Source organism: Homo sapiens, chromosome 10, assembly GCF_000001405.40.
Source record: "Homo sapiens chromosome 10, GRCh38.p14 Primary Assembly".
In the NCBI taxonomy this organism is placed as follows: domain Eukaryota; kingdom Metazoa; phylum Chordata; class Mammalia; order Primates; family Hominidae; genus Homo; species Homo sapiens.
In genome coordinates this window covers 77,336,981-77,349,409 of record NC_000010.11, presented here as the reverse complement: position 1 = coordinate 77,349,409, position 12,429 = coordinate 77,336,981, and the positions used below count along the sequence as shown (strand labels likewise).

Below are 12,429 nucleotides of genomic sequence, written 5' to 3'. Positions count from 1 at the left end.
GATACCATAAACTTGGGGGGCTGATAAGCACATTTATTTCTCACAGTTCTGGAGGCTGGAAAGTTCAAGGTCAAGACACCAGCAGATTTGGTGTCTGGTGAGGGCCCGCTGTCTGGTTCATAGATGGCACTTTCTTGCTGTGTCCTCACATGGTGGAAGGGGCAAGGCAGCTCTCTGGAGGCTCTTTTATAAGGGCATGAATCTCATTCATGAGAGCTCTGTCTCCATGACGTTATCACCTCCCAAAGGCTTCATCTCTTAATATAATTACATTGGTGATGAGGTTTCAACGTATGAATTGGGGGTGGGCAGGCATAAACATTCAGAGCATAGCAAGGAGAATTCAGGGATTGCATTAAGAAAGTAAGTTGCTGAGCAAAGGGACTCATCTTCAAAGTCCAATACAATCTTTATAATCTTACAAAAAGCTTTCCTGGTTTTAGAATTAGCTCCAAGGAATTTGGCACTAGATTTTAGATTTGCTCAGAGAAAGAGTGTGAGAGAGAGAGGGATGTGGCTTTTGTGAGGAATTCCAGCACCTTCCTTTGCAAAGATATGCCCTAAAGAACAGTGGCGGCCTATCCTCAGGACAGAAGCACTTAATTTTGTCTAATTGTGTCAATTTCTAGGAGTCATTGGGAAATTCAGCAGCTAATGAAGATGGCCCTGTTCTGTCAGGTCCCTACTGGAATATTTAAAATTCTGTTTTTCATACTTATCAGCTAAAAGAATTACAGAAATATATTTCTGGATCCTGTGGGGAATAAGAGCAGAAATATACAAAGCTTCTTCTTTCAAGACGGATCCCAGCAGCCCAAGCTAATGTCACAGTTGTGTTAAAGACTATTGATTCCAGCAGGTTCTGGGCTGGGTCTCAGCTTCCCAGGACTGTTCCAGGCTGACCTCCTTTCCCTGGTTCCATCTTTTTTTGGGACTTCTGTGGGCCTTCATTCAGCATGTGGCTTGCGGGTGTCCAGGTCTGCAGGCATACACACCTCTCCTGATCTGAATCAGAGAACAAAAGATAAAGGATCGAGGACAATGGCCTCTTCACTTTTGCTTTCTCTCTTCTTTGGGTTTTACTTTGTGTTTCCAACAGCCAATGGAAGGCTGTTCTATTTAGGGTAAATGACTCAGACTTGGTACATCTCGAATCGTATGTCAGAGCACACTGTTGCCCCTCAAAGCTCAGGAAAGGCTGCATACTCTATCTCCCTCTTGATGGTTTCCTCGTATTTACAAGTTAAAGACCATAGATGTCCTGTAGTAAAGGGGTTAGCTTGCCTCTGTTTATCCCGGTGATTCTAGTGAAACTAAAATGCTTGTTTCTATGGGGCACAGTCCAGATGTGTTGTTCACTTGGATTGACCAATCCTTTCAATAAAGTTTTGATGCAACCATGTGAATCCCAAGTTTTCAGCACTTAGTTTTGTGACCTTGAGCAAGTCACCTAATCATTACATGCCTCAGTTTCCTCATCTGTAAAAGGGGATAATAAAAAGCATCTACTTCACAGGGTTGCATTGAGGATTAAGTGCTTTAATTAAGGTTTTAGTACAGTTTCTGAAATATAATGTATTCTATATATGGTAGCTATTATTATGTTAGTATCCATTATTATTTGCTGGAATCTTTTAACACTGTGCTGAGTGTTGGTACTGTCTTCTTATCATGTCATAGAGCATGGGGTAGTATAAGAATCCTACCTTAGGTCAAAGGTCACAAAGCCCTATTGTTTTATTCCCAATAGTCTTACAGGGAAGATGCAGTTGTCCTTGTCTTATGGAGGAAGGAGGTGAAGCACACCCGAGCGGTAAAGAGGCCCCTGGTCACACAGCCCATACAGGAGTCAAACCCTGGCCTCTGGCTGCAAGCCTGCCATCCCCAAGCGTCTCTCTAAAGCTTCTTGTCAACCAGCCTCAGACAGGGGCCCACAGACACGAACCTCATCTCAGCGTTGGTAGGAGGCACCTTCCACTTGGATTCTCTTCATGTGGTTAAGAGAGTCCTGAGTTCCAATCCTAAGTTCACTCGTCTCTACCTCCTTGCCTTTGTGCAGGTTACTTAACTTTTCTGACCATCAGTCTTCTCTGTTGTAACATAGGGATGGTAACACCCATTTCTTATGCATGCAGTGATGCTTAATGACATAATGTAGGTGGGGTTCATGCACAAGGCCTGGTATATGATGAGTGCTGGTAAATCTTAGCTCCCAATGACACTGTATCAGGCTCTGTGCTAGGGTGCTTTACGAAAATGATCTCATGTAATCCTCACAACACATCAGGATATTGGTACTCTTCATTTTACAGATGGGGAAACTGAGGCTCTGTGGGATTAAGGGACTCACCCAAGGTCATAAAGCCAGATTGTGACATTGAGATTCAAATCTTGGCAACCTTACTTTCTGGAAACACTTTCCCCCTTCCTCTTCTTTAGACCCACATGCAGGCTGCTTGCAGACTCTGTGCTTGGCCATGTTTCTTGGTCAGCAGGGCAGTCGGGCAATGGGCATTTTAATCATGTTTATGCTGGACAGGGCTGTCCCTTGGGCTTGAGGACAATGTTCTTGAACCAGAAGAATATGGCAGAAGTATAATGCCATTTCACCAGGACAGATGCATCAAATTCCATCTTGGGTCTGGTAATTCTGCCACAGATGGTGGCCCATTGATATGTGCATGCTTGGCTGGGGTGAGAGTCTGTGCCAATGTCACAGGACACAGCAACCCCAATGAGTCTGTTTACTTATTTAACAGTCAAGGTGACCAGAAGAGACACTTTCCAACAGGACACAATGAGGAGGTACCCAGCAAGTCTTCTAGCTGATTGGGGGAAGAAACCCAGTGTATTACAGGAAAATGAGAGAGTGCATTTGAATTTGTTTCTAATCTGAATTTTCCATATAAACTCTAGTTAGCAGTTTCAAAACTGTGGACGCACTTCAGCCTAAGGGACAAAAACAAAACAAATGACCCAAGGTACCAGCTGCAAGATGCTGGAATAGGAGGGAGGGAGGGAAGGCCAGTGAGAGGGCAAGATTATTAATATGCTTTTCTTACTAAATTGGCTTTCAGAATCAAGGGGAAGAACCAAGGTGGGTTGTTAAGGGAGTACTGATTTAGATGTGCTGAGCAGTTGAAATGTTTTTGTTTCTCAAACATGAAAGCACTTGGCTTTGCATGACTGGGTTTTAAATTGCTCAGCAAAGCATCACTTGGGGCTAACCTGAGTCTGTGAAGTTCCACAATTCAGGAATGATGGTTACTGCAGCACTCTTGTGTTTCAAGGTTCGTCATGAAGACTAGCATAGATTCCACTGTTCAATTAAAGCAACGTTTACCATGATATTCCTATTTTCCATGATGCAGGGTCCTGGGAAGCATCTCTTTCAGGAAGGGAGTATGTATTCAAGGTCAGTCAGTATATGAATGTGTCTGAGACTTGGATGGCTCAAGGGGATAGAGCTAGGTGTTATCTGGCAGTCGCAAAAGTGAGAGATGATGACAAGGCCAAGGTAGGTAGGAGAATGGGGATCCCTCATTCATTTATCCCATCATTATTTATTGAGCACCAACTGTGTCCCAGGCATTGTTCAAGGTTCAAGCACAAAGCCGTGTTCAATGGGTTCAGGTAGAAACATGCACAGTTACATCACAACAGAGTAAACCATGGGAACTGCATGGTGCAGAGTAGGGGGTATTTGCATGGCAGTTGAAGACCTGTGTCGGACGCTGATGCTTCTATAATAACCCAACTTGGTTCCTCTCCACTTTTAGAGCCAATTAATTAGGAAAAACACTTTCTTCCTTCCCTCTCTGTCATTCTATGTTGGCATTTGTCCCCCTTGGGTTGATGGGCAGACACAGGTATGAAACCCATAACTTCATCTCTCTGGGATTCAGTTTCTGGGCAGAGTGGGCAAGGGAGGCCAGGGTCTTCTAGACTCACTAAGTCAGAAGCATCTCCTCCTGATCTTTGGTTTAATTTTTCTTTTGAAGGTACTCAGTCCATGATTTCAGATTAGGGAGGCACCACCTGGCAAAGGGGGAGCCTGACAATGCAGGGCAGTTCTAAGTACCAGGCTTGGGACCGATTCTATGGAGATATGGTAGATGGGACTACCCTCAACTGAATAATGTGTGAAGAGAATTTAAGACCATGCCTGATACATAGAGGGTCCAGTGAAAGTTGAAGGCAAATAACCCTGGTAAAGAAGGCAGGAAACACAAGGAAGCCATTCATTTATTTATTATTCATTCAATCAACAAATATTTCTTAAATATTTATACCAACAAAGCATGGAACCTCTAGCCAAACTCTCTGGTTTCAAATCCTGGCTGTTTTACAATATCTGTATAACCTTGAGCAAGTTACTTAATTATTCTCTGTGCCTCCATTTCTTCATTTGTAACATGGGAATAATCAAAAAGAATAAATGAAGATTGTTATGAAGACTAACACATGATTGTTATTATTATCTTTTTGTTCATTTATTTAGCTGTGTCCTTAGTCTGTTGCTTGATTGGTGTGGTGTTGGGGATGTGGCCAACGGAGACAGGAAAGGTCTCCGTCTTTACCCACCTTATATTACAATAGAAGAGTCAGATTATAAAAAAATAATAAATCAATAAATAATACTTTAAGGTAGTGATGAGTGATGCAGGAAACAAGAGAAGATGATTGTGGAGTGAGTGATTACTACGGGTGAGGTCCAATGATAGAGAGGACTAGTGAAGAGGGAAGACAGTCAGTCTACACAAAGATCATCCTGTTGAAAAATATGAAATATGCAAGTCTTTGGAATTTACCCAAAAAAAAAAATAGAGAAAGCATTTCTTGAGTTTCCAAGAGAGGCAAGCAGGATGAGCCACCAAAAATAAGTACGGTTAAATAAAGATTGATTCTGGGACCAAATAAGCTTCAAGATAATTATTTCTCATGGTAGTGAATCAGTATGTCTCACAAATGCATTCATCTTTTCATGTTTTCAGTACCCAAGGTCCTTGATGGATGGATTAATCCTCCTTTTCACCTTGCTTCCTTCACCTGATCCCTCACCTCTCAATGAATTGAAATTAAGGACCGTTCATTTGGAAAAACCTATTAACTCCCTGCTTGTCGATGGCTTACTTTCTACTCAGCCTGGCTGGGTTCCACCTCTTAGCTCGTGAGCCCTCACGCAACTCTGCTGTCTCCATTAGTGTCCCTTGTGGGCTGGTGGCCGAGGCAGTTAGGCTTATGAATATTCCAGTTGCTCCTGTAAATTTCCAGCATCCACTGTTAGGCAGGACATGAGGCACTAAGGGATGTGCATCACTTCTGGGCTGGGGCAGGGGATGCCTGTGTGTGGTGGTGCAGTTGCTGTCTTCCCTGATGGCACTGAAGAGACTGTGGCTTCCAGGGTTGCAGTGCAAGATGGCGGAGCTTCTGATGCCTAGGCCCATGAGTGGGCAGGTGGAGCAGAGCCCAGGCTGCCTTTGTCTTCATAGGTCTCTAACTTCTTGACTTCTCAATAGCCTCAATGACTGGTTCCTTCCTGTATTTGGTAGGTGATTGAAAACCTCTTAACACATGAATTATTCAGTCTTGGCTAGGCCTTCTCCTAAACAGTTGTCTCTGGTTCTTAAAGTTACCTTTTCCTCCTCTCTAAAATAACTTACTTACCTTTTCCTGCCACGGACACTATGACCTCTTGGTTTTATTTTCTTGATTGTATTTGGCATTCTCTGAAATTGTCTTATTTGTACATTTATATGGGATTTGTGTCTCCTCGCTAGAATATAACTCTTATCTATTTATACTCCACTGTATCCTCAGTGCCTACAGCAGTATCTGGTTGAAAGGGGTGCCTGATAAAAATGTGAATGAAATGAATGCCAACAGCCAGGAAGGCACCTCATCCCCCTCCCCTCTGCCACCCCCTTTATCAGGGCTGGGCTGTGTCAGCTCATTGAGGCAGTAGGGAGTATGGTTAGGATGATGGACTGCCCGGGCTCAAACACAACTTCCCACCTGTGTGATCTTAGATAAATTCACCTCTCTGTGCCTCAATTTCTTTATCTATACAATCAGGACAATGGCAATACCTATCACATGGATTGTTTTTCAGTTTAAATGAGTTAATATACATAAAGTCCTCAGAAAATTATCTGATTCATAGTAGGGGCCATGGAGGTATTACCATTGTCAACAGTTACTGGGGAAGCAAAGGGCCTGTCCTCTCTCTGGTAACCCCCCGACCCCCTTCAGTCTCTTGAGAACCCGGCCTCAATGCTCACCTGGGGTCCCCTGGGATCCATTCAGCAAGAAGGTTCAGCCACACCAAGCCCTGTTCCTTAAGCCCAGGAGACATAAATCCACAAAGCCTACAGGAGAGATCCCTGAGGAAAGTGGCTATTCTGGATGGGGCCAGAAGGTTCTTTCTCAAGGTCAAAGCTCTCGGAGACCTGATGAGGCCCTGCCCCTCAAGCTTCTGTCCTTTCCACAGCCCTGCAGCATTATTTCCATAATGTTATTAAAAACCAATGTGTGCTGGCCAGATGAGTGACACTTCCCAGTGATGGGGCTCGGCTCTGCTCCTCCAGGCATGGAGAACTTGTTCAATTATGTGCCACCCCGTGATGGGCCCAATCACAGTACACACATTAGCTTCTGATTATACCCTTGTTGAGTTTCTCTTGACAGGAAGGAAATGAATTTACCTCGTGTCACCTCTGTAGTTTGCAAGCAGGCATGGCTTCTGATAATAGCACCTTTCATGTTTTGTAAGACCAAGGAGAAGCATTCGTGTGGTGGCCAGTCCTTGGTGACCCTTTGTCTCAGCCTGGAGGTGAGCTTGAGCTGATTCTTCATGGGAGTGTTTACTCCTGGGGCTTGTAGGAATCTGGCTGGGGGTTGGGTGGTCAGCTGTCCCATAAGATTGTGGGCCTTGGCCACTGCAGCATGCACATCCCTGAATCCACACTCTTATGGTATCGAGGCCTTGGGCAAATGACTGAATTTCCCTTGACCTTCCCTTCCACCTGTAAAATGGGGACAATGATAGTAGTTATCTCACAGGGTAGGCGTCAGATTTAATGAGCTAATAGATGCAAAGCCCTTGCATGTGCCTGGCATATAATAAATGCTACATTGTGTTTTTATCATTAAAATTATCTTAATATTATTTTGCTGTTGCTGTTATTATTGCTGTTGTTATTGCTTAGATTGGAACATGTCTTTGCTATTTATAACTGTGTGACCTTGAACATATCACTTAGCCCCCATGTGCCATGACATTTGTAAAATGGGGAAAGAGGAGTCTGTTCCTTGGTGCAGCTGCAAGGATGTCAGTAGGTTGGCACAGGAAAGGCCTTTGAAGCAGCATCAGTGCAGGGCAAGTGTTGTGGGTTATTATTGGTGACTTGCTCCCCTCACCAGAGGGGTCTTTTGGGTGCTGTGGAGCCAGAGGGGTCTGTCCATGGTGGGTTAGGATTATGCACTTAGGTCTTGCTTTCCATTTGGGACAGTAAGCATCTGAGAGAAGAGTTTGTCCCTGACTATACCAAATTCCAAGTTCTGCCAAGGAATCCTGGGGTAGGCCAGAAAGGGAGGCAGGAATGGAGCCAGTGGTGGACCCAGCGTTTCCTTCCAAAGCTTTTAGACTCAGCTGCTAAAGCCAGTCATGAAGTGGACGTGATTCCTGAGGCAGGGCAGCAGGCCCCTCTCTCACTACCCCCTTCACCAGCCCCAACCTTCAGCAACTTTTCCTGGCAGGAGACCACATCACCATCCCCTCCCCTTCCCATCACAGGCATTTCAGAACACAAGGGGATCTGGGGGACCCACGTCTAAGGAACTGTGACTGAGAGCCTGGGAAGGGCTTTCTCTTGACCTGGGAGAGGGAAAATTAGGCAAATTGCTGTGTTTCTCCACTGTAAACCTGAATGGGAATGAGGGAGGAGGGAGAAAAAGCCAGACAAAAATGGAGACACATGCAGAGAGATGGAGAAACAGAGAAAGGAGAAGGAAAGAGCTACAGAGATAAGGAAATGAGAAAACACTGAGAAATAATTGGGAAATGAGACAGACAAGCTCATAGAAGGACTTAGACCCAGAAAGGGAAAGTGGAAAATTATCTTGACAGCTAACACGTATTGAGAAGACAGTATGTGCCAGGCACTGAGATTAGTGTGTGATATATCTCATTTAATCTTTGCAACAATTCTATGAGATAAGTGCTGTTGTCAACTTCATTCTACAGTGAAAACAACGGACATACAGAACGGTGAGGTGTCTAAGATCACACAGCTTTTGTGGAGGAGTTAGGACTAGAATCCAGGTCAATTTGAGTGCAAAGCCCATGTGCTTAACCCCCTGCAGAGAGGCCATGACCCTGGGACCTAAAGCATGGCAGAGCATCTCTGAGTCTCCCTGCACTCTGGACATTGAGAAGCACTAGTCATTCTGTTTTGTAGTACAGATGTGTTTATAAAGAGACTCCAGGGAAGTCAGATGGGTAAGGATTATGCCTGTCACTCTTTTTTTTTTTTTTGGCATTTTTTAAATTATACTTTAAGTTCTAGGGTACATGTGCACAACATGCAGGTTTGTTACATATGTATACATGTGCCGTGTTGGTGTGCTGCACCCATTAACTCATCATTTACATTAGGTATATCTCCTAATGCTATCCCTGCCCCCTCCCCCCGACCCCACGACAGGCCCCAGTGTGTGATGTTCCCTTTCCTGTGTCCAAGTGTTCTCATTGTTCAATTCCCACCTATGAGTGAGAACATGCAGTGTTTGGTTTTTGTCCTTGCGATAGTTTGCTGAGAATGACGGTTTCCAGCTTCATCCATGTCCCTACAAAGGACATGAACTCATCCTTTTTTTATGGCTGCATAGTGTTCCATGGTGTATATGTGCACATTTTCTTAATCCAGTCTATCATTGATGGACGTTTGGGTTGGTTCCAAGTCCGTGCTATTGTGATTAGTGCCACAATAAACATACATGTGCATGTGTCTTAATAGCAGCATAATTTATAATCCTTTGGGTATATATACAGTAATGGGATGGCTGGGTCAAATGGTATTTCTAGTTCTAGATGCTTGAAGAATTGCCACACTGTCTTCCACAATGGTTGAACTAGTTTACAGTCCCACCAACAGTGTAAAAGTGTTCCTATTTCTCCACATCCTCTCCAGCACCTGTTGTTTCCTGACTTTTGAATGATCACCATTCTAACTGGTGTGAGATGGTATCTCATTGTGGTTTTGATTTGCATTTCTCTGATGGCCAGTGATGATGAGCATTTTTTCATGTGTCTGTGCCTGTCACTCTTGACTTCTGTGTTAGTTAGGATTCCTTGGGCTTCATGTAACAGAGAGAAAAGCAGTTTTTCCTACAAGTAGAAGTCTAGATGTAGGGGTTTCTGGCACTAGTGCTGCTGCTACATCATGTCAAGATAGTGTCTGTAGGATGTCAGGATTCCCTTGGCTTTTCACTCATGGCTGCAAGAGAGATGGAGAGCTTCAGACTTTGGGTCCATTTCAAGGTAGAAAGAAAAGGGGGAAGGGCAATATCAGGTTAAGCTGTTCCCTCCTGCTTTTTATCAGACATCTTCCCCTGCAGAATATGTGGCGTGGCCACCTATAGCTGCAAGGGAGGCTGGAAGGTGATTATTCAGCTTTCCATCTTCGAGGACAGGCAAGGTTGGACTCCACCTTGGGTGAGCCAAACTGCAGTGTCAGCCACCTTCCAACAAACCAGCCTAAGCCCAAACCCACCAGTAACCCTCCCCTAGTGGAGGGAAACATTTAGTTCTCTTGGGAGTTGCAGGCAGGTCTTTGACTTGAGGCACCATTCTGAGTCAAGCTGGGTGGTGGGGAGGTGGGGTGAGGCAGGAGTGCCTAGCTCTGCTTCCCCATGGTGTTGCTGGGGGTAGATACAAACACAGTCACATCTGCTATGTCTGGAAAACCAAGACTGGAGTCTCTCAGCTCTCCAGTGCCTGCTTTCCCTGTAGCCAATTGCAAGGCTGACATCCCAGGAAAGGCAGCAGATTAGATGAGCACAGGAGCAGAGAGGCTGGGAAGGCGGTGGAGGAGGGAGAAATGTGGGTTTGGCAGAATTTTCTAAAATATCACTTTATTGATTTGGAAGAGACACAAGAGAGGAAATATAAGAGACAAGTGATAAGAGGCTCAGCTGAGATGGGCATGGAAGAGCCTGCCTTTTTTTTTTCCTTTATTGCATACCTATGGAGCTTTTCTAAGCATTAAAAAAACACTTCCTTACCCCCTCCCCATGAGATTTTAATACCACAGATACACTGTATATCTGTGTGTGTACTCTGTATGTATCTGTGTTTATACATAAAGGTTGTTTTTTCACTTTTCAATGTCTGCCTTCCTGGAGGAGACTTTGCCCCCATTGAGAATACATGCATGAGACACATCTCTAGAGACGCATCTGGGCTTACTGTGGGAGGAGAAGAGCTGGTCCCACTTTGTCAAACTGTCTTGTAGACAAAGGGAATTGAGAAGAGTCTTACATTTCTTGAGCACCTGTTAGGTATTTGGCACCAAGACAGGGGCTTTAGATCTGACAACTCACCTGATGCCCAATGGCAGTTCTGAGTGGTCAGAGCAGGGGCCTCATTTCACAAATGACATCATCAAGATTTAGGGGTTCCTCCCTCCTTTGAAGAGATCCAACCTGCCCAGATGAACAAGCTAGCACTATTCTGATGACAGGGCATGGTTGAGTGTCAGATGGGTTCAAAGCTCGTAGGATGAGCACAGAATAGGCTGGAGTCTGTAGTGGTCCTCCCTGGAGGAGATGGGGTGTGAACTGAGCTCTGCAGGACAGACAGATGCAGAGATGAGAAGGGGAGGCAGCACCTGCTGGAGAAGAGCAGGAGCAGAGGCTTAGGGTCTGTAAGGGCCTCTGGCTGCAGGGGAGGATTTTCGCTGAGAGCTGAGAGAGATGGAGGCAGAGCCATCCCGGGCAAAGAGAAAAAGCCCCACCCTGGCATGTTTATTCCTCAGTCTCTGGTTGTGATGTAGTAATTGAGCCAGGGATCCAACCCAGCTATACTTAGCACCATTTCCAGAAGGCATGAGGGCGGGAGATGGGTATATAAAAGGCAGGAGTCTGGGGCTCCTCACTCAGAGGCTTCTGAAACCTGAGTGGCATTTTCAGTGTATCCCTGTGGAGGAAATCTCCGAAAGAAGGTAGCTGAGTCTGTGACCAAAGAGAGGCTTGAGTCCTGTTTCCTTTTCACTCTCAAGAGCCTTCAGGCTCACTCACCCCTTCCCTTACAGATACTTTGCTGGAGCTCCTCCTGACATGATTGTATTAGTAAAGAGAGGCGCCAATAACAAATGGCCCCCAAATCTCAGTCGGATTCTGCAACAAAGGTGTATTTCTTGCTTGTCCTTCATGTTCTGTATAGGTTGTACTGAAACCCCTGCTTCTGGAGCCATTTTCCCCCAAGATTCTTCATTTTAACATGTCCTTCCATTTGCCATACTGCAGGAAGAAAACATGGAGAACTGCACAGCTCCTAAAGTTTCTGCCAAAATGGGACATATGCCACTTCTGCTGATGTTTCATTGGCCAGTGTAGGACCCATGGCTTAGCCTAACTTCAGAGGGTGCAGGGTAATGTAATCCTGCTGCATGCCTAGGATGTGAAGAGCAGGAAATATTTGTCAACAGCATTAAACATGACCACAGTGATTATAATAAATGATTTTTCAATATCCAGTTGAAATGATTTTTCTGTTTCTTTTCTTTTTTTGACACAGAGTCTCACTCTGTCACCCAGGCTGGAGTGCAGTGGTGCAATCTTGGCTCACTACAACCTCCGCCTCTCGGGCTCAAGCGAGTCTCCTGCCTCAACCTCCCGAGTAGCTGGGATTTCAGGTGTGCAGCACCACACCCAGCTAATTTTTGTATTTTTTAGTAGAGAAGGGGTTTCACTATGTTGCCCATGCAGGTCTGGAACTCGACCTCAAATGACCCGCCTGCCTTAGCCTTGGCATTGGGCCTCTCAAAGTGCTGGGATTACAGGCATGAGCCACCATGCCCGGCCTAGTGTTTCTTCTTCCTCTGTAATGCTCTGATGGTCTCTGCATCAGTACTTATATTATGCTTGGTAAATATTTGTCTTCCCATCTAAAGTCAAAACATTAGGGACAAGATCCTGTTGAATGAGGGAACTACAAATACTTATTGAGGATCCACTCACTGTATACCAGGCACAGTGCTAGGTACACAGAGCAAACTCCCAGTCCTACAAGGTGGTGGATCTAATGACGTGACAGATGACTTGTCTCCGAGTTCTGGAACATCCTGAGCATGTTCTCATCCCAGCACTGACTAGTCCAACTACTTGTTGATTCTCTAAGTTAGAATTGGGAGATGTGGGAAGCTTCCA

At 45.0% G+C, this 12,429-nt stretch overlaps 1 protein-coding gene across 55 annotated transcripts in view; it reads left to right on the top strand.

Annotated features, from left to right (window-relative positions):
* The window catches only part of KCNMA1 (potassium calcium-activated channel subfamily M alpha 1), a 768,207-nt gene that overhangs the window by 288,399 nt on the left and 467,379 nt on the right, over nt 1–12,429 (top strand). The window lies entirely within an intron of this gene.